At 53.4% G+C, this 24,835-nt stretch overlaps 2 protein-coding genes across 8 annotated transcripts, besides 2 other annotated features; one reads left to right on the forward strand and one right to left on the reverse strand.

The window, feature by feature from the left end:
- Positions 1-1,921: 1,921 nt before the first annotated feature.
- C17orf114 (chromosome 17 open reading frame 114) lies at positions 1,922-7,772 on the reverse strand. 3 transcript variants are annotated; one of them, NR_172509.1, is made up of 2 exons: positions 7,690-7,772; positions 1,922-2,218 (listed from the first exon to the last, which is right to left on the reverse strand). NR_172509.1 is itself a non-coding variant. In NM_001395223.2 (2 exons), exons 1-2 carry the CDS (start codon positions 3,080-3,082, stop codon positions 2,052-2,054), a joined length of 240 nt encoding a protein of 79 aa, NP_001382152.1. In that variant the 5' UTR covers positions 3,083-3,091; the 3' UTR covers positions 1,922-2,051. The 3 variants fall into 3 exon arrangements, 1 of the variants encoding a protein (NP_001382152.1); NR_172508.1 differs by having other exon boundaries at positions 7,512-7,772; NM_001395223.2 differs by lacking the exon at positions 7,690-7,772 and adding an exon at positions 3,010-3,091.
- Positions 7,466-8,255: a silencer, noted in NCBI's record as "silent region_8045". NCBI's record gives its function as "represses an Ori minimal core promoter by ATAC-STARR-seq in GM12878 lymphoblastoid cells {active_cell/tissue: GM12878}" and the evidence as "EXISTENCE:reporter gene assay evidence [ECO:0000049][PMID:35858748]".
- Positions 7,915-24,193, forward strand: PLD2 (phospholipase D2). Of its 5 annotated transcripts, none has more exons than NM_002663.5 (25): positions 7,915-7,988; positions 8,535-8,644; positions 8,747-8,877; positions 9,037-9,179; positions 9,863-9,968; positions 10,061-10,126; positions 10,256-10,314; positions 10,454-10,546; positions 10,640-10,792; positions 11,565-11,714; positions 15,181-15,264; positions 15,396-15,474; positions 16,239-16,349; positions 16,527-16,697; positions 17,383-17,509; positions 17,700-17,818; positions 17,909-18,022; positions 18,765-18,869; positions 19,060-19,148; positions 19,257-19,370; positions 19,537-19,586; positions 19,847-19,981; positions 20,192-20,345; positions 22,556-22,670; positions 23,403-24,193. In NM_002663.5, the coding sequence occupies exons 2-25, from the start codon at positions 8,536-8,538 to the stop codon at positions 23,625-23,627; spliced, it is 2,802 nt and encodes a 933-aa protein (NP_002654.3). In that variant the 5' UTR covers positions 7,915-7,988; position 8,535; the 3' UTR covers positions 23,628-24,193. The 5 variants fall into 5 exon arrangements, with proteins under 5 accessions (NP_002654.3, NP_001230037.1, XP_047292257.1 ...); NM_001243108.2 differs by having other exon boundaries at positions 20,192-20,312; XM_047436300.1 differs by lacking the exons at positions 7,915-7,988; positions 8,747-8,877 and having other exon boundaries at positions 8,575-8,644.
- Positions 8,651-9,850: an enhancer, noted in NCBI's record as "CDK7 strongly-dependent group 2 enhancer chr17:4711183-4712382 (GRCh37/hg19 assembly coordinates)". NCBI's record gives its function as "activates an origin of replication core promoter dependent on BRD2, BRD4, P300/CBP, MED14 and CDK7 cofactors, with strong dependence on CDK7, by STARR-seq in HCT116 cells {active_cell/tissue: HCT116}" and the evidence as "EXISTENCE:reporter gene assay evidence [ECO:0000049][PMID:35650434]".

Consider the following 24,835-nt stretch of genomic DNA (forward strand, 5'->3'; position numbering starts at 1 on the left):
ATTATGTATTTTTTAGAGACAGAGTCTCGCTCTGTCATCCAGGCAGCAGTGTCACTGTCATAGCTCACTGTAACCTCAAACTCCTGGGCTTAAGTGATTCTCCTGCCTCAGCCTACCAGTGTGCTGGGATTACAGGCATGAGCCACTGTGCCCATCCTTTTTTTATTTTATTTAGTTATTTATTTTATTTTTTTTGAGATGGAGTCTCACTCTGTTGCCCGGGCTGGAGTGCAGTAGCCTGGTCTTGGCTCACTGCAACCTCCGCCTCCCGGGTTCTGGCGATTCTCTTGTCTCAGCCTCCCAAGTAGGTGGGATTATAGGCGGGCACCACTGTGCCTGGCTAGTTTTTGTATTTTTAGTAGAGATGGGGTTTTGCCAAGTTGACCAGGCTGGTCTTGAACTCCTGACCTCAGGTGATCCACCCACCTCAGCCTCCAAAAGTTCTGGGATTACAGGCATGAGCCACCACACCCGGCCTTAAATATTTTTTAGAGACAAGGTCTCCCTATGTTGCCCAAGCTGGTCTTGAAGTGGCCTCAAGAGATCCTCTTGCCTCAGCCTCTTGAGTAGCTGGGATTATAGGCGTGAGCCACTGCACCCAGCTCTTTTTAAATAAATTTTTTTTTTTTTTTTTTGAGACAGTGTTTCACTCTTATTGCCCAGGCTGGAATGCAATGGCGTGATCTTGGCTCACTGCAACCTGCACATCCCGGATTCAAGCAATTCTCCTGTCTCAGCCTCCCGAGTAGCTGGGATTACAGGCATGCGCCACCACATTCAGCTAATTTTGTATTTTTAGTAGAGACGGAGTTTCTCCACTTTGGTCAGGCTGGTCTCAAACTCCCGACCTCAGGTGATCCACCTGCCTTGGCCTCCCAAATTTTTTTTTTCTTTTAAGACAGAGTCTGGCTCTGTCCCCCAGGCTGGAGTGCAGTGGTGTGATCTCGGCTCACTGCAACCTCCACCTCCTGGGTTCAAGTGATTCTCCTGCCTCAGCCTCCTGAGTAGCTGGGATTATAGGCGTCCACCACCACGTCTGGCTAATTTTTTTGTATTTTTAGTAGAGACAGGGTTCCACCAAGTCGGCCAGGCTGGTCTCGAACTCCTGACCTCAGGTGATCCACCTGCCCGGGCCTCCCAAAGTGCTGGGATTACAGGCGTGAGCCACTGCACCCAGCCTAAAATTCATTTTTTAGATCAGTTTTAGGTTCACAGCAAAATTGAGTCGAAAATACAGATATTTCCCATGTGCTCCTCTCCCCACGTGGGCAACCTCCCCCACTGTCAACATTCTGCACCAGAGATGGCCATTTGTTGGAACTAGTAAACCTGCACTGACACATCACTCCCAGATTTCCACATGGCTGCTCATCATTCAGCTCTCAGCTCAAATGTCACCTCATCAGAAAGGCCTTTCCCAACCACCTGAAACTGAAGAATCACCACCCCCTAATCCCACTCTCACATGACCCTGTTTCATTTTCTTCAAAGCAGCACACATCACCATCTTGGGTTCTGCTTAGCTGTTACCTGTGTATGATTGTCTCCCTCCCTCTACTAGCAAGTCAGTTCAGTGAGAAGAGAGAATTGTTCCTTCCTGGTTCATTGATACATCCTCCACGCCTGGCAGGGGTGGACACTCGGCATTTACTGAATGAATATGCTTTCTCATCCCATCTGCTATCCTGCCCTGCCCCCAGCCACCCCAGCCTGCCTTCACCACACTCAACCCCGAAGCTTGACGTCAGCCAATTCTTACTTTCCCGCTTGTCACACCTGGGCTCTGCGTTAGGTCAGCTGCCTCATATTCATCATTCGTGTGTCTCACTCCCACCGTAGACAACACTTCCCATCTCAGCCCCATAACCCAGCCCTGCAGCCTTGGCCCCATCTACACCCCCAGCACACACACACACAGCACTTAGCAACTATGAACACATTTGATGAGAAGGTTAGAAAGGACTTGGGGAGGTGGACATTAGGATCGCTGAGAAATCTGGGGAAGGAAGCTTGCTAAGCCTTCCTGGAGGTTCACCTCCTCGTCGTCCCCTTCAAATGGTGGAGTCATTGGCCGATGCTATGTCATGCAGCTGGTGGCGGAAGGAGAGTCGGGCTTTCCTGCTGAAGTAGGCACCAGGCCCTGGCGAGGGTACCCCTCCCTCAGCCATGGTGGGGGCTATAGCTGGACTGGGATCTGGAGGGGCAGCAGGACTCAGGCCTAAAAGATTGGAGGAAGAAGGAAGTTGTAGGTCAGGGTTCACCTCCTCCCTCACCCCCAACCCAGGGTTGAGGAGGGAAGAAGCAAGGGAAGACACCTGGGGCCTGGGGGCTGGTGAGGAGTGTTGGTGGCAGCAGCAGGGGGAGGGAGAGGGGCTGTTGCAGAGCAAGCAGGACTGGCTCGCACACATGTGACCTGTGCAGTTGCATAGGATCCTCCGACTCAGAAGGGCCACCATGCTTGGCATAGGTCTCTGCTGTCACCATCTTGAAATTCTTAATTTTTTTTTTTTTTTGAGACAGTCTCACTCTGTTGCCCAGGCTGGAGTACAATGGCACTATTTCGGCTCACTGCAACCTCCGCCTCCCGGGTTCAAGTGATTCTCCTGCCTCAGCCTCCCGAGTAGCTGGGACTACAGGCGCCCGCCACCACACCCGGCTAATTTTTTGTATTTTTAGTAGAGGTGGGTTTCACCGTGTTAGCCAGGATGGTCTCCATCCCCTGACCTCGTGATCTACCCACCTTGGCCTCCCAAAGTGCTAGGATTACAGGCATGAGCCACCGTACCCGGCCGAAATTCTTAAATTGTTAACAAGGGGCCCCACTTGGTCATTTCGAACTGGGCCCTACAAAGTATTTAGCCTGTCCTGTGAGGACTTCGGTGATCCATCTCCCACCCAGGGAGACAGATGATCCTTTTCCCTTTGCTGGTTTGAGCATTTCTCTCCCTGCCATGCAGTTGTCTCTCTGTCTGCCTGACAGCCCCGCTTTACCCTCAGTCTACTCCATACCTGCTCCTCTTTCAGTCCCCCGCTGCCTCCGGCACCCGCACCATGGGAAACACCATGCCCCCTTCAGACCCATCTCAACAGTGGAGGCGATCAGAGCTGGGAATGGCCAGGAGGGCCCCCGGGAGAGGGGTGTGGTTTCCAAGCCCCCCCACCATGGGCAAAACTACCACTTAGCCTCAGACCGCCTGGTGATTACAGGCGCCAGGGATGGAAAGGGGAGAGGAGGGAGGAAGAAAGGGGTGGGGGTACACTCCCATTCAGACACCTATTTTTATGCCCCATTAATTTGGGGGTCCTTTCTGATCCCCATGGAGAAGCAGGAGGTGGTTGGGAGAGGTGGCACGGCAGGGACAGACGCAGAGGTGCTGTGACAGACAGATGCAGTCACATTTCACTATGGCAATGCCCGACAACTTGGCGCCAGGCTGGACACCGCTGGGGATTCCTTTGTATTTTAGAATGAGAATTGAAGTGCCCAAGATGTAAACTTTCAAAGAATACTCTATTTTTTTAGAATAAGAAACTTTATTATTCAGGGAAATGTTAGATTCTCATTAAATGGTCTGATAGTTCCTGTCCCCTGTTATGAAGATGATTGTAATTGATTAATTATGCTGTGTCAGGTAAATGCTAGAGACTTTTACATGTTGTCTCATTTCACTTAATCACGTCAAAGATCTTTTTTTTGGGGGACAGAGTCTCACTCTCTCGCCCAGGGTGGAGTGCAGTGGCGCAATCTCGGCTCACTGCAACTCTGCCTCCTGGGTTGAAGTGATTTTCCTGCCTCAGCCTCCCAAGTAGCTGGGACTACAGGCGTACACCACCATGCCCAGCTAATTTTTTTGTATTTTTAGTAGAGACGGGGTTTCACCATGTTAGCCAGGCTAGTCTCGAACTCCTGACCTCAGGCAATCCACCCGCCTTGTCCTCCCAAAGTGCTGGGATTACAGGTGTGAGCCACCGCACCCGGCCTCAAAGATCTTTTGAGGTAAGTCCCTCACTGGTTAGGTGAGTCTATCCTGGTTTTACAGATGTGAAAAAGCAGGCACTGAGAGGTAAGGTAATTTGCCCAAGGTCACGCAGGCAGTTATTAGCCGAGTAGGAACCATGCCCAGCTCACAACCCTCACCTTGAGTCAGTCTGACCCCAAAAATCTATTGTTTTTTTTAATTTTTTTTTTTTTTTTTTTTTTTTTTGAGACAGAGTCTCGCTCTGTCACTCAGGCTGGAATGCAGTGGCGCGGTCTTGGCTCACTGCAAACTCTGCCTCCCGGGTTCACGCCATTCTCCTGCCTCAGCCTCCTGAGTAGCTGGGACTATAGGCGCCCACCACCACACCCGGCTAATTTTTTTTGTATTTTTAGTAGAGATGGGGTTTCACCGTGTTAGCCAGGATGGTCTCGATCTCCTGAGCTCGTGATCCGGCCACCTCGGCCTCCCAAAGTGCTGGGATTACAGGCATGAGACACAGCACCCGGCCTTTTTTTAATTTTTGAGATGGAGTCTTGCTCTGTTGTCCAGGCTGGATTACAGTGGTGCAATCTCGTCTCACTGCAACCTCCGTCTCCAGGGCTCAAGCGAGTCTCCTGTCCCAGCCTCCCAAGTAGCTGGGATTACAGGCACCCGCCACCATCCCCAGCCACATTTTGTATTTTTAGTAGAGATGGGCTTTCACCACGTTGGCCAGGCTGTTCTCCAACTCCTGACCTCAAGTGATCTGCCTGCCTCAGCCTCCCAAAGTGCTGGGATTACAGGCATCAGCCACCACACCCAGCCCAGAATCTACTCTTTTGACCAGTACACTGAGCTTCTGAAGCATGTCCCCAAGCAAGCATCGATGCCCTCAGACAGTTTGGGGTGGCCAGAGCCAAGGCTGGGAGCATCTAGTCAAGAGCATCCTAGCCAAGGACTCTAAGTGCTCTTAAGTAAAGCTGTGGAAGTGCTGTGTTTTTTTTCTTTTTTCTTTTTTTTTTTTTTGAGATGGAGTCTCGCTCTGTTGCCCAGGCTGGAGTGCAGTGGCACGATCTCAGCTCACTGCAACCTCCGCCTCCCGGGTTCACGCCATTCTCCTGCCTCAGCCTCCCAAGTAGCTGGGACTACAGGTGCCCGCCACCACGCCTGGCTAATTTTTTGTATTTTTAATAGAGACAGGGTTTCCCTGTGTTAGCCAGGATGGTCTCGATATCGTGACCTCGTGATCTGCCCTCCTCAGCCTCGCAAAGTGCTGGGATTCCAAGCGTGAGCCACTGCGCCCAGCCACAAGTGCTGTTTCATCATTCCCTGAGGGTGCCACAACGTGGGGAGTGTTAGGTTGCTGATTACAGGGTACTGCCTGAGTTACACAGAAATGTTTCTTTCTTTTTTTTTTTTTTTTGAGACAGTCTCACTCTGTCACCAGGCCGGAGTGTAGTGGCACTGTCCCGGCTCACTGCAATTTCTGACTCCCTGGTTCAAATGATTCTCCTGCCTCAGCCTCCCGAGTAGTACGCATCACCACACTCAGCTAATTTTTTGTATTTTTAGTAGAGACGGGGTTCACCATGTTAGCCAAGATGGTCTCGATCTCCTGACCTCGTGATCTGCCCGCCTCGGCCTCCCAAAGTGCTGGGATTACAGGTGTGAGCCACCGCGCCCCGCCTTCTTTTTCTTTCAATGAACTTTATTGAAGCAAAAATGCACATACAATGTAATGCACACATCTTAACGTACAGTTCCATGAGTATTACCAAGTGTATGCTCCTATGCAATCACCACTCCTATCAAAATACAGGGCATTCTTATCATCCTGGAATGTTCCCTCACGTGTCCCTTTACAGGCAATCTTTTCCCTACACCCTGCCACAAGCAACTACTGATCTGATTTCCATCACTATAGGTTGTTTTTGCCTGTTTTATAAGTTTAAGACCGGGTGCGGTGGCTCACGCCTGTAATCCCAGCACTTTAGGCCAAGGAGGGCGGATCATTTGAGGTCAGGAGTTCGACGCCAGCCTGACCAACATGGAGGAACCCCGTCTCTACTAAAAATACAAAAAATTAGCTAGGCGTGGTGGCAGGTGCCTGTAATCCCAGCTACTCAGGAGGCTGAGGCAGGAGAGAACCCGGGAGGCGGAGGTTGCAGTGAGCCGAGATCGCGCCATTGCACTCCAGCCTGGGCAATAACAGCGAAACTCTGTCTCAAAAAAAAAAATTAGCAAAAGGCCGGGAACGGTGGCTCACGCCTGTAATCCCAGCACTTTGGGAGGCTGAGGAGGGCGGATCACTTGAGGTCTGGAGTTTGAGACCAGCCCGGCCAACATGGTGAAACCCCGTCTCTACTAAAAATACAAAAATTAGCCGGAAATCCCTTGAACCTGGAAGGGGGAGGTTGCAGTGAGCCGAGATCACGCCACTGCAGTCCAGCATGGGCAACAAGAGCGAGACTCTGGCCGGGCGCGGTGGCTCACGCCTGTAATCCCAGTACTTTGGAAGGCCGAGGAGGGCGGATCACAAGGTCAAGAGATCGAGACCATCCTGGATAACACGGTGAGACCCCGTTTCTACTAAAAATACAAAAAAAATTAGCTGGGCGTGGTGGCGGACGCCTGTAGTCCCAGCTACTCAGGAGGCTGAGGCAGGAGAATGGCGTGAACCTGGGAGGCGGAGCTTGCAGTGAGCCGAGATCGCGCCACTGCACTCCAGCCTGGGCAACACAGCAAGACTCCATCTCAAAAAAAGAAAAAAAAAGAGCGAGACTCCGTCTCATAAAAATAAAAATAAAAATAAATAAAAAATAGCAAAAGACTGAATAGGCACTTTATAAAAGAAGACATACAAATGGCCAATCAGCACATGAAACATGGTCAATATCATTGATCTCCAGACAAATGCAAATCAAATTGCAATGATGTGCCCACAACACCCATTAAATGGCCAACGCTAAAGACTGACAATATCCAACGTTGGCCATGCCATGGAATAACTGGAACCACCATACACTGATTTTGGAAATCTAGAATGGAAAAACCATTTAGAAAAAAATCGTTTGGCAGTTTCTTATAAGTTAAACACACACTGATATGATCGAACAACTCCACTCCCTAGTTACCCAAGATAAAGGAAAACTATCCACGCAAACTTACAGGAATGTTTACAGGAGCTAAAACAATGGGCAAAACTAGAAACCCACATGTATATCAAAAGAGAAAAATAAATCTGCTTTTTAAAAAAGATTGAAATATCTTGTATTTTAATACCCGAAAAAATTTTATTTCCCCCTAGACTGCCAATTCCAGCTGAGCAGGCTCTCTAACCATCTTATTTACTACCATACTCTCAATTTCTGGCACGGAGTAAGCGCGCAATAAATGTTTGGTGAATGAATGAAAGAATGCCCGCTTTCATACACTAATGGGTTTGTAGCCACCACCCCTCAGGCCTTTTACGCCCTCATTCCTTCCAGGTACAAACGCTATCTGGGCTAGGCCAAATGTGGCTCGCAGCGGGTCCGGGAGCGGGGCACCTACCGGCAGCTCCCGCAGCGGAGGCGCGTCCCCCGGGCGCCGAGGCAGCGCCCGCGGCTGGAGGGGCCCGGGGCGGGCGCCGAGCCCGAGGGATGCGCGCAGCGCGGGGTGCCCCGGGAGGCAGCGGCCGGGCACGCTGGGACCGACGGCGCGGGACGCCCCGACGCCGGGCAGCACTTACCCGCCGCACCGAGAGAGCTACGCGGCCCCGCGGCCCTGCAGGGCACAGGGCGGCCCCCTGCCCGGGGCTCTCGGTGGCGCACTGGGCGGCGGGGCGGGCCGAGGGCAGCGGGGGCGGGACAGGACAGACGAGAATCCCGCGGAGGTGAGGCCGGGGGCCGCCCCGCCCCCGAGGGCAGGCCCTGAGCCCCGGCCCCGCCTCGGCCGGCCCCGCCTCGGCCGGGGCGTGGGCTCCGGCTGCAGCTCCGGTCTGCTCTCTTGGCTCCGGAACCCCCGCGGGCGCTGGCTCCGTCTGCCAGGGTGAGGGGGCCGGGAAGGGGCGCGCGGGGGTCCCGGGTCTCGGAAATCGGGCGGGGACGGAACGGGCTCGGGCTGCGGGGCCTCCAGACTCAGTCGCACGCTCAGATTTCGGGATTTCTACCCCCGGCTGGGATCGCGTAACTTCCTCATTCCCGCCTGGACCCCTGCCCCCGGCCCGCCTGGCCTGGCGTGAGCCCCGTAGCCGCGCGCTCTCCGGACCACCCAGGGCCGCTTCCCCGCGCAGCTGCTGCGCCGCCCCAGGTCGGAGCCTTCCGGGCCTGGCTGGGTGTTCCCCGGGGCTCTGGTTACGGGACGGGGCGGGGGGCGGGGGGCGGGACTGGGATTGTGGATGAAGGACTAAGGTAGGGGATGGGGGCTCGAAGGGGTCGGTGGGGCGTTGCAAACTGGTCAGGCGTCATCCGCGGGCGGTCAGGAGGCCGTGGGGGAAGAGGAGGATCTGGAAGAGATGGAGGACCTGCGGGAGTTAGGATGGGGGGCGGGTTCTGCAGGACAGCTCGCCTCCCTGAGGCTTCCCAATGTTCCTAGGATGACGGCGACCCCTGAGAGCCTCTTCCCCACTGGGGACGAACTGGACTCCAGCCAGCTCCAGATGGAGTCCGATGAGGTGGACACCCTGAAGGAGGGAGAGGACCCAGGTACACAGGGAAGATGGATGGCCCTCAGGGAGGAGAGGCGTTCGGGAGCCAGGGGGCTGGGGCCTGTTGTGGTCTACACTCCTCGACTTTCTTTCCTCCCAGCCGACCGGATGCACCCGTTTCTGGCCATCTATGAGCTTCAGTCTCTGAAAGTGCACCCCTTGGTGTTCGCACCTGGGGTCCCTGTCACAGCCCAGGTGGTGGGCACCGAAAGATATACCAGCGGATCCAAGGTGGCCAGACTGGCCCCAGGGAGGGGGAAAGGGAGGGCGGCCCGGAATGGATCCAAGGTGGCTGGGCTGGCCCCAGGGAAGGGGCAAAAGGAGGGCTGGCCAGAGTGGGGAGGCGGGGACCCACGCAGGGGACATCCATTCAGTTCCTCATACCCCTAGGTGGGAACCTGCACTCTGTATTCTGTCCGCTTGACTCACGGCGACTTTTCCTGGACAACCAAGAAGAAATACCGTCATTTTCAGGAGCTGCATCGGGACCTCCTGAGACACAAAGTCTTGATGAGTCTGCTCCCTCTGGCTCGGTGAGGGCGACCGGACTGCTTCCTGTAGAGGGCAGGTGCTCCCCACCCTCCTTTCTGTCTGTCTCACCCCGGGGCCACAACCTTTCCTCCCTGCAACTCTGGCCACTGTGCTGCCTCCCCTGACCCCAGTTACCAGGAAACTTTCCCTGCTCAGCTTTCCCTGTCCATGGTTCTGTGCCAGCATCTCAGCTGGGCGGGATGCCCAAAATGCTCTTGGCAGCCTCACCCTTTTCTAGTCTCCATTCCCAGGGTAGGGGGCCTCCGTTTTGCCAGCCTCTAGGCCTTTTGTTTGTTTTTTGTTTTTGTTTTGTACAAGGTCTCCCTCTGTCACCCAGGCTAGAGTGCAGTGGTATGATCTTGGCTCATGGCAACCTCCTGGGCTCAAGCAGTCCTCCCGTCTCAGCCTCCAGAGTAGCTAGGACCACAGCCACCACACCCAACTAATTTTTGTATATTTTGTAGAGATGGGGTGCTGCTGTGTTGCCCAGGCTGGTCTTAAATTCCTGAGCTCAAGTGATCCACCTGCTGCGGCCTCCCCAAGTGCTGGGATTCCAGGCGTGAGCCACCACGCCTGGCCACCTCCAGGCCTCTTCTTTTCCTCCGAGCCCCATCTCCAGTGTTTTCAGGAACCAGAGCACCCAGCCTCCCAGCTCTTACCTGACCTTCATCCATCCTTTCCACAGATTTGCCGTTGCCTATTCTCCAGCCCGAGATGCAGGCAACAGAGAGATGCCCTCTCTACCCCGGGCAGGTCCTGAGGGCTCCACCAGACATGCAGCCAGCAAACAGGTGGGACCAGATGCCAGGTCCTCCGGGAAGGCATTGGAGGTGCAAATGGCTCGGTCCCATCTGTCTCTCTCTCTCTCTCATCTCCACTTCAGAAATACCTGGAGAATTACCTCAACCGTCTCTTGACCATGTCTTTCTATCGCAACTACCATGCCATGGTAAGGTCCAGGGGCCGATTTTAGATGTGGAGCAGGATTATCAGACCCTCGGGGAGGAGGGCCAGGGGCCCCAGGGTCTGAGGGGCTGAAAGCCAGGTGTCTCCTCCGGGCTTTTGTTTTCCTCTGCAGACAGAGTTCCTGGAAGTCAGTCAGCTGTCCTTTATCCCGGACTTGGGCCGCAAAGGACTGTGAGTGTCTGGCCCCCTTCACCCAGGCATCCGTAGACATCACTCTTAATTTCTCCCTGCCTGAGATTGGGGCAAGCAGTGCAGGGTGGGCTGGGGGTCTGGAGTCCTCATCCCGCCTCTCTTCCTGATTGTCCCACAGGGAGGGGATGATCCGGAAGCGCTCAGGTGGCCACCGTGTTCCTGGCCTCACCTGCTGTGGCCGAGACCAAGTTTGTTATCGCTGGTCCAAGAGGTACGGGCTATGGCCAAGCAGCTGGGCAGTGGGTGGGGGTGAGGAAGAAAATTTTGAGGGCAGAGAGGAACACACGGAGCCCTTCTGCTCTAGGTGGCTGGTGGTGAAGGACTCCTTCCTGCTGTACATGTGCCTCGAGACAGGTGCCATCTCATTTGTTCAGCTCTTTGACCCTGGCTTTGAGGTGCAAGTGGGGAAAAGGAGCACGGAGGCACGGCACGGCGTGCGGATCGATACCTCCCACAGGTGAGGCCTCCCTGGGGTGAGAGACACCAGCTGAGTGGTGAGCCCACCCACGGCCTTGCTGGGAGTTGAGAAAGAGAGACCACAGGAGAGAGGAAGGCTTTTCCACCTCCCTGGATCGGGACATAGTTTTGAACCAGGAACTGGTCTAGCCAGATGCTTGGGACTGCTCTTAGACTGGGCCCAGAGAAAGGGGATTAGTAGAAGCCTGGGAAGGGAACTGCTGACATAAACGAAATTCCATTTGTTCATTTGTTCATTCAACAAACCCGAGTGCCTGGTACAATACTGGTTGCTGATGCAATACTAGGATCCAACTATGAGTAAGGTGGATATGGCCGGGCGCGGTGGCTCACACCTACAATCCCAGCACTTTGGGAGGCCGAGGCGGGTGGATCACCTGAGGTCAGGAGTTCGAGACCAGCCCAGCCAACATGCTAAAACCTTGTCTCTACTAAAAATACAAAAATTAGCCGGGCGTGGTGGTGCGTGCCTGTAATCCCAGCTATTTGGGAGGCTGAGGCAGGAGAATCGCTTGAAGCTGGGGTGCAGAGGTTGCAGTGAGCAGAGATCGCACCACTGCACTCCAGCCTGGGGGACAAGAGCTAAACTCTGTCTCAAAAATAAATAAATAAATAAGGCAGATACATACACGCCCTATCCCTGTGCAGTTGTGATTAGGGACTAAGGGAGGAAGTGGGAAAGGGGAGGTCTCTAGGCAAGATCACAGGTATGGAGGGCGAGGATTTATGGACATCTCATCGTTCCCATCCAGGTCCTTGATTCTCAAGTGCAGCAGCTACCGGCAGGCACGGTGGTGGGCCCAAGAGATCACTGAGCTGGCACAGGGCCCAGGCAGAGACTTCCTACAGCTGCACCGGCATGACAGCTACGCCCCACCCCGGCCTGGGACCTTGGCCCGGTGGTGAGACACTGACATCCCTTCTGAGCTTGTCTGTGGCTTTCTTGACCCCCTGTGTAATCTCTGAGTCCTTCATCCTCTCTTTTCTCATCTGAACCCTCCTGACCTCAATGACCCGCCCCGTGACTTCTTTAATCTTCCTGACCTTTGACATCTTTAACCACATTGATCTCTCTGATTTCGCGCCGACCTTTCTGACCCCCAAACTTGGTCATCTCTTCTGACCCTTGACCTCTCTAACCTCCTATAACCTTTTAAACCCCTCTCTACAATACTGACCCTCTCTGTTCTCCATGATCTTCTCAAATCTCTCTGATTTAGTCCTTCATTTAATAAACATTTTCTTTTCTTTTTTTTTTTTTTTTTTTTTGAGAGAGAGTTTTGTTCTGTTGATCTCGGCTCACTGCAACCTCCGCCTCCCAGGTTCAAGCGATTCTTCTGCCTCAGCCTCCCGAGTAGCCGGGATTACAGGCGCCCACCACCACACCTGGCTAATTTTTGTATTTTTAGTAGAGACGGGGGTTTCACCATGTTGGCCAGGCTCTTCTCGAACTCCTGACCTCGGGTGATCCGCCCGCCTCGGCCTCCCGAAGTGCTGGGATTACAGGCGTGAGCCACCGTGCCCAGCCTTAATAAACATTTTTCTAAGCACCTAGCAGTGCTGGCAGTAACACACAGTCCTCTCTGGGTTAGGGAAGTAGGTGATCAAATCGTGAAACAATGTGAACTTGCCGTACTGGTGATAGGTAGAAGGTGACACGCACAGACAGGAAGTACCTGGCCCAGCAGGGATATCAGGACAGGTTTCCAGGAGGTGGTGACCCTCAGGTAGTTTTGCTTTAAATCAGAGACTGACACAATATTAATTTTGTTGGTTTTTGTTGGAGACAGTGTCTTGCTCTGTCACCAGGCGTGTAGTGCAGTAGTGTGATCATGGCTCACGGCAACTTCAACCTCCCAGGCTCAAATCATCCTCCTGCCTCAGCCTCCCAAGTAGCTGAGACTACAGACACATGCCACCACACCCGGCTAATTAAAAACATTTTTTTTTACAAAAAATTTTAAAAATTAGACGGGTGTGGTCTCGAACTCCTGGGCTCAAGGGATCATCCTGCCTCGGCCTCCCCAAAGTGCTGGATTGCAGGCATGAGCGACAGTGCCTGGCCTATATACTTTTTTTTTTTTAAGGCAGAGTTTCGCTCTTGTTGCCCAGGCTAGCGTGCAGTGGCACAATCTCAGCTCACTGCAACCTCAGCCTCCCAGGTTCAAGGGATTCTCCTGCCTCAGCCTCCCAAGTAGCTGGGATCACAGGTGCATGCCACCACACCCAGCTAATTTTTGTTTTGGTTTTTTTTTTTTTTTTTTGAGATGGAGTCTGTCTCTGTCACCAGGCTGGAGTGCAGTGGCAGGATCCCACCTCACTGCAACCTCTGACTCCCCGGTTCAAGTGATTCTTCTGCCTCAGCCTCCTGAGTAGCTAGGATTACAGGCATATGCCACCATGTCCAGCTAATTTTTGTATTTTTAGTAGAGCCAGGGTTTCACCATGTTGGCCAGGATGGTCTCGATCTCCTGACTTCGTGATCTGCCCACCTCGGCCTCCCAAAGTGCTGGGATTACAGGCTTGAGCCACTGCACCTGGCTATAAACTTCTAAAACAGCCAAAACCAATCCACAGTGATGGAAATCAGATCAGCAGTTGCCTGTGGCAGGGTATGGGGAAATGATTGCCTATAGTGGGGCACACGAGGGAACATTCCAGGACGATAAAAATGTCCTATATTTTGATAGGACTGGTGATTGCGTGGGAACATACACTTGCTGATCCTCATGGAACTATACAAGATAAAGAAAATGCAGAACAGTCCAGGCACAGAAGACAGAAATAGCTCAGGGTGTTTGGGAACCACCAGGACATATTGTTGTTACTGAGTGAGGAGGAGCAGTCAGAGGAGAAGCTGGGAGTCAGTGGCACCTGATCTCACAGGGTCCCATGTGCTAATATCACAGGCACACAGGGCAGTCATGGAAGGAAGTTTTGTTTGTTCGTTTGTTTTGTTTTGGTTTGGTTTGGTTTTTGAGATGGAGTCTGGCTCTGTCGCCCAAGCTGGAGTGCAGTGGCGCGATACCAGCTCACTGCAGTCTCTGCCCCCTGGGTTCAAGCGATTCTCCTGCCTCGGCCTCCTGAGTAGCTGGGATTACAGGCGTGCACCACTATGCTCAGCTGATTTTTGTATTTTTAGTAGAGATAGGATTTCACCATGTTGGCCAGGCTGGTCACGAACTCCTGACCTTAAGTGATCCACCCGCTTCGGCTTCCCAAAGGGCTGGGATTACAGGCATGAGCCACCTTGCCCAGCCTTCCTGCATATTTTCACATGTGCATGCACGTGTTACTTTTGTTTCAACATAAATGAGATCATGCAACCTCTTCTGTGACTTATTTTTTCACTTAATACCTGTGTGAGAGATTAGACACTTATATTATTTCCCATTTTTCACTCTTACAAACAATGTGATGAACACAACATTTGCCTAGGCATTGTATTAGATGTATTCCTAGACATGTAATTACCATGTATATTTAATGATATTAAAGGGTATATGCATTTAATATTTTGATACTGCTGACCAGTCGCTTTGGCTCATGCCTGTAATCCCAGCACTTTGGGAGGCCGAGGCGGGTAGATCATTGGGGTCAGGAGTTCAAGACCAACCTGGCCAACATGGCAAAAACCCGTCTCTACTAAAAATACAAAAATTAGCCAGGCGTGGTGGCGGGCGCCTGTAATTTCAGTTACTTGGGAGGCTGAGACAGGAAAATTGCTTGAACCCAAGAGGCGGAGGTTGCAGTGAGCCAAGATCATGCCATTGCACTCCAGCCTGGGTGACAGAGCGGGACACCATCTCCAAAAAGCTATATATATATTTTTTGATACTGCCAAATTGTCTCCTAAAAGTTATATTCCCATAGTCTATGAGAATACCCACTTCCCCAGCATATTGAATATTGATATTGAATGTTACCAGTGATTTGAATTATTACCAATCTAATGGATTTTTTAAATGTAATTTCATTTTAATTTCGTTGTTTACTAGTGAAACTGAACATTTGCCACGATTGGCCATTTTAATTTCTCTGTGAACTGTCAGTTCTTACTCTTTGCTCATTTTTCAGTTGGCTCATGTGACTTTTTCTTGTCGATTTATTGGTGTTCTTTATGTATGATGTATTAATCCTCCTGTTCTTTAGTTGATTAGGTTATTGTGTCTTTTTGTAATTTTTATTTGTATTTAGCGCATATGGGCAAACACTATTTTGATGTGTCTGATACCACTTGTGTTCTCTGATCATTTCTGATCTTTGACCTTGCTGTCACCTCTGACCCACGACTGTCCTCCGGTCTTCACTCTCCAGAGCTTTCTGGCTTCTGACTCCCCTGACCTCCTTGGCTTGGCCTCCCCCCAGGTTTGTGAATGGGGCAGGTTACTTTGCTGCTGTGGCAGATGCCATCCTTCGAGCTCAAGAGGAGATTTTCATCACAGACTGGTGGTGAGTGGGAAAAGGCCCCAACAACATGGGGCAGGATAGAGCCTGGGGCAGATCAGCATTAGGAGGAGAAGGGGGGTGCAGCTGGTGGTCTGGGGCTTCGTTTGCCCCTAATCCACTGCCCTGAATCCCAGGTTGAGTCCTGAGGTTTACCTGAAGCGTCCGGCCCATTCAGATGACTGGAGACTGGACATTATGCTCAAGAGGAAGGCGGTGAGGAGAGTGGTCAGGCCGCAGGGGGAGGGGGTTGCCTGTGGGTGGAGGTTGATTAGCAGGGCTGCAGTGTGGGAGAATTAGGCAGTCTGAGGCTTCAGGGGAGGGAAAAGTGTCCATCCTGGCCCAGCACCTGTCAGACATCACCTCCGCCCTCTCCCTCTGCCCTAAGGAGAACTGACAACTTCCTCTTCATGCTCCCTCCACCTGGCAGAGACTTCCCTCCCAGTATACATAATACTTTATTGTGTTATCTGGGGGTATACATGTCTATCTCTCTCACTGGACTAGTTAATATCACTGTTCCACTACAAGGCACAGTACCTGCCATGGAGGGGGCATGTGTGGTGTTGATGGACAGGAAGAAGGATGCATGGATGATGCAGGGTGGCTGGGCAGGTGGATGGATAGAGGACAGAAAGGGTGATGGATGGAAGGATATGAGTTGGAAAGGTGGAGGGCTAGGAGGGTAGGCAGGTAGATGGATGAATGATAGACGGTACATAAAGGGATGAGTAAATGCTTGGGAAGATGGATGGATGGATGATGAAGGGTGGGTGGATAGATGTGTGGATGGGTGAGTGGGTGAGCACACAGATGACATTTAGTCTAAGTCTGTGGCAAGCAGCAAAGCAGGGCATATGTGGCAGAGCCTCTAGGATCTCCAGACAAGCTGGAGGGACACACGTGGAAAAGGTTTGGGAGTGTGGAAAGGGGCTACTCTGGGAGAGGCACTAGGATCTGATTCCCCAACTCACCACCAGGAGGAGGGTGTCCGTGTGTCTATTCTGCTGTTTAAAGAAGTGGAATTGGCCTTGGGCATCAACAGTGGCTATAGCAAGAGGGCGCTGATGCTGCTGCACCCCAACATAAAGGTGACTCTCGGCCTCAGAGACCCTCCCACATGACAGCCCTTCTCCCCACACTGTCCCAGCCCCCAGCGCTCCCGCTCCCTGATGGTCTCATCTTTCCATCTTTCCTCTCTCCCTCCCAGTACCTCCTGTTTTCCTTCACCTAAACCCACCCTCATGAACCCTCCATGCCTGCTCCAGGTGATGCGTCACCCAGACCAAGTGACGTTGTGGGCCCATCATGAGAAGCTCCTGGTGGTGGACCAAGTGGTAGCATTCCTGGGGGGACTGGACCTTGCCTATGGCCGCTGGGATGACCTGCACTACCGACTGACTGACCTTGGAGACTCCTCTGAATCAGCTGCCTCCCAGGTAATCCCCCTGAGGCCTTCCTGAGCACCCCCAAACTCAGATAAGCTCAATCAACACCATTTCCCAGCTCCAGCCTTACCCCCTCAGTCATTCCAGGCCCTGCCAACCTCAGGGTTCCTCAGACTTTCTGGGACTCCAAGAACCCACTTTGAAAGTGCTGTAACTGGCCGGGAGCCATGGCTTATGCCTGTAATCCCAGCACTTTGGGAGGCCAAGGCGGGTGGATCACCTGAGGTCTGGAGTTCGAGACCAGCCTGACCGACATGGTGAAACCCTGTCTCTACTAAAAATGCAAAAAATTAGCTGGGCATGGTGGCAGTTGCCTGTCATTGAAGCTACTCGGGAGGCTGAGGCAGGAGAATCACTTGAACCCAGGAGGCGGAGGTTGCAGTGAGCCGAGATTGTGCCATTGTACTCCACCCTGGGCAACAGAGCGAGACTCTGTCTCAAAAAAAAAAAAAAAAGTGCTGTCACCCACCCAGTCCTTTCCCCATTTTCACTGACCATCACCCCATTCCTCTAAAAGTGTCAAAGGCAACTGGAGGGGAGGGCTGGGGAATCAGACCCTCTGTTTCATTCTTCCTCTCGGTCTCTCTCACTCTTTCAGTGCTCCTCTCTTTGGCCCTGGCTCTGTACAGCCCCATGACTTCCCCTTGCCCCTGGCTTGGGTGTGTTCCCCCTACAGCCTCCCACCCCGCGCCCAGACTCACCAGCCACCCCAGACCTCTCTCACAACCAATTCTTCTGGCTGGGCAAGGACTACAGCAATCTTATCACCAAGGACTGGGTGCAGCTGGACCGGCCTTTCGAAGGTGAAGCCTCCCACCCGCCAAAGCCCCAGAGAGCTGAGAGCAGGGTCAGAAGCTGGGGCTGGTACTGAGAGTGGGATGAGAGGGGTCAACGGTGGTACAGCCCTCCCTCTGGCAGGCTCTTTCTCCCTGCCCCAAGTGTCCCAAGGAGTCCAGCCCTGACATCTCCCCTGACTCTCCTGGGACCCCCCAGATTTCATTGACAGGGAGACGACCCCTCGGATGCCATGGCGGGACGTTGGGGTGGTCGTCCATGGCCTACCGGCCCGGGACCTTGCCCGGCACTTCATCCAGCGCTGGAACTTCACCAAGGTGTTCATTCCCTCCGATAGGGGCTGGAGGTAGGGAGGGAGCCAGGGCAGATTGGCACCTCCTGCTGACTCTGCCATCCCTCCACGTCAGACCACCAAGGCCAAGTACAAGACTCCCACATACCCCTACCTGCTTCCCAAGTCTACCAGCACGGCCAATCAGCTCCCCTTCACACTTCCAGGAGGGCAGTGCACCACCGTACAGGTGAGGCCCCCCACTTCAGCCAGCCCTCCCCTTTGTCTCCTTCAGCCTAACACCCCAACCCACTCTCCCTGGTGTGAGAGCTGCCCACACTCTCCTTTCCTGGGGTTAAGAAGCACATCACGGCCAGGCACGGTGGCTCACGCCTATAATCCCAGCACTTTGGAAGGCCAAGGCAGGCGGATCACAAGGTCCGGAGATCGAGACCATCCTGGCTAACATGGTGAAACCCCATCTCTACTAAAAATACAAAAAATTAGCCGGGCGTGGTGGTGCGTACCTGTAGTCCCAGCTACTAGGGAGGCTAAGGCAGGAGAATCGCTTGAACCCAGGAGGAGGATGTTGTAGTGAGCTGAGATCACGCCACTGCACTCCAGCCTGGGCAACAGAGTGAGACTCCATCTCAAAAATAAAATAAAAGGCCAGGCGCAGTGGCTTACGCCTGTAATCCCAGCACTTTGGGAGGCCGAGGCAGGCGGATCACGAGGTCCGGAGAGCAAGACCATCCTGGCTAACACCATGAAACCCTGTCTCTACTAAAAATACAAAAAATTAGCCGGGAGTGGTGGTGCGTACCTGTAGTCCCAGCTACTTAGGAGGCTGAGGCAGGAGAATGGCGTGAACCCAGGAGGAGGAGCTTGCAGTGAGCGGAGATCATGCCACTGCACTCCAGCCTAGGCAACAGAGCGAGACTCTGTCTTAAAAAAGAAAAGAAATGAAGCACATCGCATTCACCATTCCCTAGGTCTTGCGATCAGTGGACCGCTGGTCAGCAGGGACTCTGGAGAACTCCATCCTCAATGCCTACCTGCACACCATCAGGGAGAGCCAGCACTTCCTCTACATTGAGGTCTGACTGGGAGGAGGTGGGGGAGAGCATGGAAGGGGTGTCCCAGGAGAGAGACCTGGGGAATGAGTGGAGTCAGTCATTGAGGGCTGGTGGAGCAGAAGCAGACGCCTGGAGCCTGGGACCAAGGCTGGAGGCCGAGGACAGGGCCAGGGGCCAGGCTGCTGATGTCTGTCTCTGATTCTTGCCCCAGAATCAGTTCTTCATTAGCTGCTCAGATGGGCGGACGGTTCTGAACAAGGTGGGCGATGAGATTGTGGACAGAATCCTGAAGGCCCACAAGTAAGGTGGACTGTCAGGAAGGTGGGGACTGTGGGTGTGGTTTGAGCCCGGTTGAAGGGGGTGGGGTTTGAGGGACCAGTCGCACCTCTGACTCCACCCCCTCCCCAGACAGGGGTGGTGTTACCGAGTCTACGTGCTTTTGCCCTTACTCCCTGGCTTCGAGGGTGACATCTCCACGGGCGGTGGCAACTCCATCCAGGCCATTCTGCACTTTACTTACAGGTGACCCCCCAGGCGGACTCCAGCTCTCAGTGGCCCCATCCCACCCGTGTCCCCCTCCTGATTCTGTCCTGATCCCTTCCTGCTGGGCCTTAAAGAAGGGCCACCTCTCCTGACCTCCCCTCCCCTCTGCCAGCCTCCACTTCTCTCCCTCTTTCTTTTCTCTCAGGACCCTGTGTCGTGGGGAGTATTCAATCCTGCATCGCCTTAAAGCAGCCAGTGAGTGCTGGGGGCTGGGGGCTCAAGCCCTGGGCCCCTGGGAGAGGGAGATTGGGGCGCTGCAGGCCTGGGGGTGGGGGAAGGAGGCTGTCACTCCTGTGAGCCTCTGACGCTACGCAGACCATAGCTGGCCTTTCACTGCAGGGAGAAGGAGAGAGACCAGACTCTATGTAGGAAGAGTTTCTGGAGTGAGAGGAGGTGGGACAGGGCCCTGTGCACACAGAGCCACCTCTCACCTCACTTCCCCTCCTGTCACGCAGTGGGGACAGCATGGCGGGACTATATTTCCATCTGCGGGCTTCGTACACACGGAGAGCTGGGCGGGCACCCCGTCTCGGAGCTCATCTACATCCACAGCAAGGTGCTCATCGCAGATGACCGGACAGTCATCATTGGTCAGTGCCGGATCTAGTCCTCTGGCAGGGAGAGGGTGTGGGGACAGGCGAAGAGATGAGAGGCAGGATGACAGAGACTGCAGCTGAGGCTCGTGTAGGGGTGGAGGGTCCAAGAAGGAATGTTGCAGGCCAGTGCTTTGGTAGAGGGGATGGGGTACTGGGGAGAGTGCCCTGGGCCCAAGCACACAGTGTGCCCCGCATCCACCCCAGGTTCTGCAAACATCAATGACCGGAGCTTGCTGGGGAAGCGGGACAGTGAGCTGGCCGTGCTGATCGAGGACACAGAGACGGAACCATCCCTCATGAATGGGGCAGAGTATCAGGCGGGCAGGTTTGCCTTGAGTCTGCGGAAGCACTGCTTCGGGTAGAGCTGGGGCGGGATGCCACAGGGTGGGAGGGAGATGGGGGCGTCTGCCTTTTGAGCAGGACAAGAGGTAGCACCGCATAGGTACTCCCGGAGCCAGAGGTAGAGGCAGTACTAGATTCTCAATAGGCAAGGCTGGGCGCGGCAGCTCACGCCTCTAATCCCAGCACTTTGGGAGGCCAAGGCGGGTGGATTGCCTGAGGTCAGGATTTTGAGACCAGCCTGGCTAACATAGTGAAACCCGTCTCTACTAAAAATACAAAAAATCAGCTGGGTGTGGTGGCGGGCGCCTGTGATCCCAGCTACTAGGACTAATCAGTTTAGAGTATCAGTAAAGCAGGAACACCAAAAAACAAAAAGAGAAAAAAATCTTTTTTTTTTGAGACGGAGTTTTGCTCTTGTTGCCCAGGCTGGAGTGCAATGGCGAGATCTCAGCTCACTGCAACCTCTGCCCTGGGTTCAAGCGATTCTCCTGCCTCAGCCTCCCGAGTAGCTGGGATTACAGGCATGCGCCACCACGCCCAGCTAATTTTGTATTTTTAGTAGAGATGGGGTTTCGCCGTGTTGGTCAGGCTGGTCTCGAACTCCCGACCTCAGGTGATCCACCCACTTCAGCATTCCAAAGTGCTGGGATTACAGGCGTGAGCCACTGCACCTGGCCACGAAAAAGAAATCTTTTTTGTTGTTGTTGTTGTTGTTGTTGAGACACGGTTTCACTCTTGTCGCCCAGGCTGGAGTGCAATGGCACGATCCTGGCTCACTGCAACCTCCGCCTCCTGGGTTCAAGCAATTCTTCTGCCTCAGCCTCCGGAGTAGCTGGGATTACAGGCGCCCACCACCACGCCCAGCTAATTTTTGTATTTTTAGTAGAGACAGGGTTTCGCTGTGTTGGCCAGGCTGATCTTGAACTCCTGACCTCAGGCTTCGGCCTCCCAAAGTGCTGGGATTACAGGCATGAACCACCGCCCCTGGCCAAAAAAAAAAAAAAATCTTTTTTTTTTTTCTTTTTTTTTGAGAGGGAGTCTCACTGTCGCCCAGGCTGGAGTGCAGTGGCGCGATCTCGGCTCACTGCAGGCTCCGCCGCCCAGGGTTCATGCCATTCTCCTGCCTCAGCCTCCCGAGTAGCTGGGACTACAGGCACCCGCCACCTCGCCCGGCTAATTTTTTGTATTTTTAGTAGAGACGGGGTTTCACCGTGTTAGCCAGGATGGTCTAGATCTCTTGACCTCGTGATCTGCCCGCCTCCGCCTCCCAAAGTGCTGGGATTACAGGCATGAGCCACCACGCCCGGCCAAAAAAAAAAAACTTTTGTGTTTTGTTTGTTTGTTTGTTTTCTTTTTGAGACGGAGTCGCTCTGTCACCCACGCTGGAGTGCAGTGGCGCGATCTCGGCTCACTGCAAGCTCCGCCTCCCGGGTTCATACCATTCTCCTGCCTCAGCCTCCCGAGTAGCTGGGATTACAGGCGCCCGCCACCATGCCCAGCTAATTTTTTGTATTTTTAGTATAGATGGGGTTTCACCGTGTTAGCCAGGATGGTCTCGATCTCCTGACCTCGTGATCCGCCCATCTCAGCCTCCCAAAGTGCTGGGATTACAGGCATGAGCCACCGTGCCCGGCCAAAAAAAAAATCTTTTAAAAGTAATTTTTTTCACAGGTTCTGAGGATTGGGGAAAGAACAGAAAAAGAAGAAAATTTAAAATAAAAATAATTTTTTAAAGCATCAAGGTAGTCATCAAAGTCAAGACAAATCAGAACTCTGTTGGCTTCTTTTACACTTATTTTACTATTTTATATTGCATTTATTTTGTTTTTGTTTGTTTGTTTGTTTTGAGATAGGGTCTTGCTCTGTCACCCAGCTAGAGTTCAGTGGCGTTACCACGGCTCACTGCAACCTCGACTTCGCCAGCTGAAGTGATCCTCCCACTTCAGCCTCCCAAGTAGCTGGGACTATAGGCACATGCCACCGTGCCTGGCTAATTTTTGTATTTTTTTGTAGAGATGGGGTTTTGCCATATTGCCCAGGCTGGTCTTGAATTCCTGAGCTCAAGCAATCCACCTGCCTCATCCTCCCAAAGTGCTGGGAATACAGGCGTGAGCCACCGCACCCAGCCAATTTTGAATTACCTGAGTAGGGACAATGTAACTTTTCTGGTACTCAGGTTCTCTAAGGATCTTAATCTGGCCCTGCTGGGACCCCTTTCTCCTATAGTGTGATTCTTGGAGCAAATACCCGGCCAGACTTGGATCTCCGAGACCCCATCTGTGATGACTTCTTCCAGTTGTGGCAAGACATGGCTGAGAGCAACGCCAATATCTATGAGCAGGTGGGAACTTGGGAGGGGTGGGGGAGAGTGGCCTGGGGAAATTTGTGGATTATCCTGCTCAGGGTAGGATGGAGAGAAGCGCCACCATACAGTCATTATTGGAAGGGGGATGAGGGCCTGGGGACATTTGCTATCAAGAGATTTAGTGGCCCAGGCCGGGTGCAGTGGCTCATGCCTGTAATCCCAGCACTTTGGGAGGCCAAGGCCCGGTGGATCACCTGAGGTCAGGAGTTTGAGATCAGCCTCCCAACATGGCAAAACCCCATCTCTACTAAAAATACAAAAAAATTAGCTAGGTGTGGCTGGGAGGCTGAGGCAGGAGAATCTCTTGAACTCAGGAGACAGAGATTTCAGTGAGCCGAGATCACGCCATTGCACTCCAGCCACCTGGGCAACAAGAGCAAAACTCTGTCTCAAAAAAAAAAAGTACAAAAGTTAGCCGGGCATGGTGGTGGGCACCTGTAATCCCAGCTACTCAGGAGGCAGAGGCAGGAGAATCACTTGAACCCGAGAGGTGGAGATTGTAGTGAGCCGAGATCGCACCATTGCACTCCAGCCTGGGCAAAAAGAGTGAAACTCCGTCTCAAAAAAAAAAAGAGAGAGAGAGTTAGTGGCCCAGGGTCAACGGGGGGTATGGAGAGATGGTATGGGGGAAGGGGTCTAGCCTAGTTGGACTTAGATTGTTGGGAGAGTCTCCCCAAGCCTTACTGGCGTCCATGCCCCCGCCCACAGATCTTCCGCTGCCTGCCATCCAATGCCACGCGTTCCCTGCGGACTCTCCGGGAGTACGTGGCCGTGGAGCCCTTGGCCACGGTCAGTCCCCCCTTGGCTCGGTCTGAGCTCACCCAGGTCCAGGGCCACCTGGTCCACTTCCCCCTCAAGTTCCTAGAGGATGAGTCTTTGCTGCCCCCGCTGGGTAGCAAGGAGGGCATGATCCCCCTAGAAGTGTGGACATAGTTGAGGCCCCCGTCAGGGAGAGGTCACCAGCTGCTGTGCCCCACCACGTCTGGCTCCCTGCCCCTTAACCCCAAGGACTGAGGGCAGTGCCCTTTGAGATCTGGGGAGGCAGGCATTCCTGAAGGGAACTAGAGGTGTTACAGAGGACCCTTACGTGAGAAATAGCTGAAAAGGGCACTCCCAACCCTGGGCTGGGGAGGAGGAGAGAGTCCCAGAGCTCATCCCCCCTGCTGCCCAGTGCAAACCACTTCTCCATGCTGCAAAGGAGAAGCACAGCTCCTGCCAGGGTGAGCAGGGTCAAGCCTCTTATTCCAGGAGAAGGGGGCTCTGCCCCAGGCCCTACTACCCATTGTTCCCTTCCTCTTCCTGCCCTTGAACCCCCTCCCTGTCCCAGGGCCCTCCCAGCCCATTGCTGCCAAGGTGGAGGGAAGGATAAAGCCACTTCTGGCTTCAGCCCCCACCAGGGGAAGGAAGGAGGGCACATTAACTCCCTCCACCAGCCTGCTGACAGACACTAACTTTGTATCCGTTCAATAAGCATTTCATAAATAAAGGTGTAGAAAAGGTTCATGCGTCTTCCTTGGAGGAACTAACTGCTCGTTCCAGCCTCCCGTTCCTGCCCACACGGGGCACCAGTCCCCTTCACCTTATCTCCACCCTCCTCCACTCTCCTCTCTCCACCTCTGTTCTACCTATCTGTGGCTTCGGGAGCTCGGTCACCTGGCTCCTGAGAGGAGAAGGTGTTGACACAGTGCCGCCTGGGTAGAAGGACGGGCAGGGCCCAACCAGGGCACCTGGAGAACTGTGGAGCTGCTATCACAACCGCAGGTGAGGGAGATGCTCTGAGAAGGACCTAGAGAGGCTGCCTCTTGTTCAAGCAACAGCCCTGGTAGAGGCTTAATGAAGGCCCTGTGGGAGTGGTTGAGGGTATAGGCTTAAGGTCAGGAAGACCTGGACCCAAATCCTGGACTCCTCAATGAGAAGCTAGGTGAACTTGTCAAGTCATTCACTTCTCTGGGCCTCAGTGGTCCCCGCTGGGAAATGGGAATAATACTTACATGACTAGCTTGCTGTCAAGACTCAGCCATTGACTTAAATATTTATTGATTCCCTGCTATTTGCCAGCTCTGTTCTAGACTCACAGAAGTGAGTGCAACAAAGTCCTCACCCGTATGGCACTTCTGTTCTGGAGCCTCACTGTCCAGTAC

This window comes from Homo sapiens, chromosome 17 (genome assembly GCF_000001405.40).
Source record: "Homo sapiens chromosome 17, GRCh38.p14 Primary Assembly".
NCBI classification, from domain to species: Eukaryota; Metazoa; Chordata; class Mammalia; order Primates; family Hominidae; genus Homo; species Homo sapiens.

Bases quoted from the DNA above. Each gene is read 5' to 3' on its own strand.
- C17orf114 (NM_001395223.2), bottom strand. From the start codon at position 3,082: ATGGGTCTGAAGGGGGCATGGTGTTTCCCATGGTGCGGGTGCCGGAGG. The intron at 2,219-3,009 runs GTATGGAGTAGA...CCAATCTTTTAG, and splicing joins GGGGACTGAAAGAGGAGCAG to GCCTGAGTCCTGCTGCCCCT.
- PLD2 (NM_002663.5), top strand. From the start codon at position 8,536: ATGACGGCGACCCCTGAGAGCCTCTTCCCCACTGGGGACGAACTGGAC. The intron at 10,315-10,453 runs GTGAGTGTCTGG...ATTGTCCCACAG, and splicing joins GACTTGGGCCGCAAAGGACT to GGAGGGGATGATCCGGAAGC. The intron at 19,982-20,191 runs GTCAGTGCCGGA...CATCCACCCCAG, and splicing joins TGACCGGACAGTCATCATTG to GTTCTGCAAACATCAATGAC.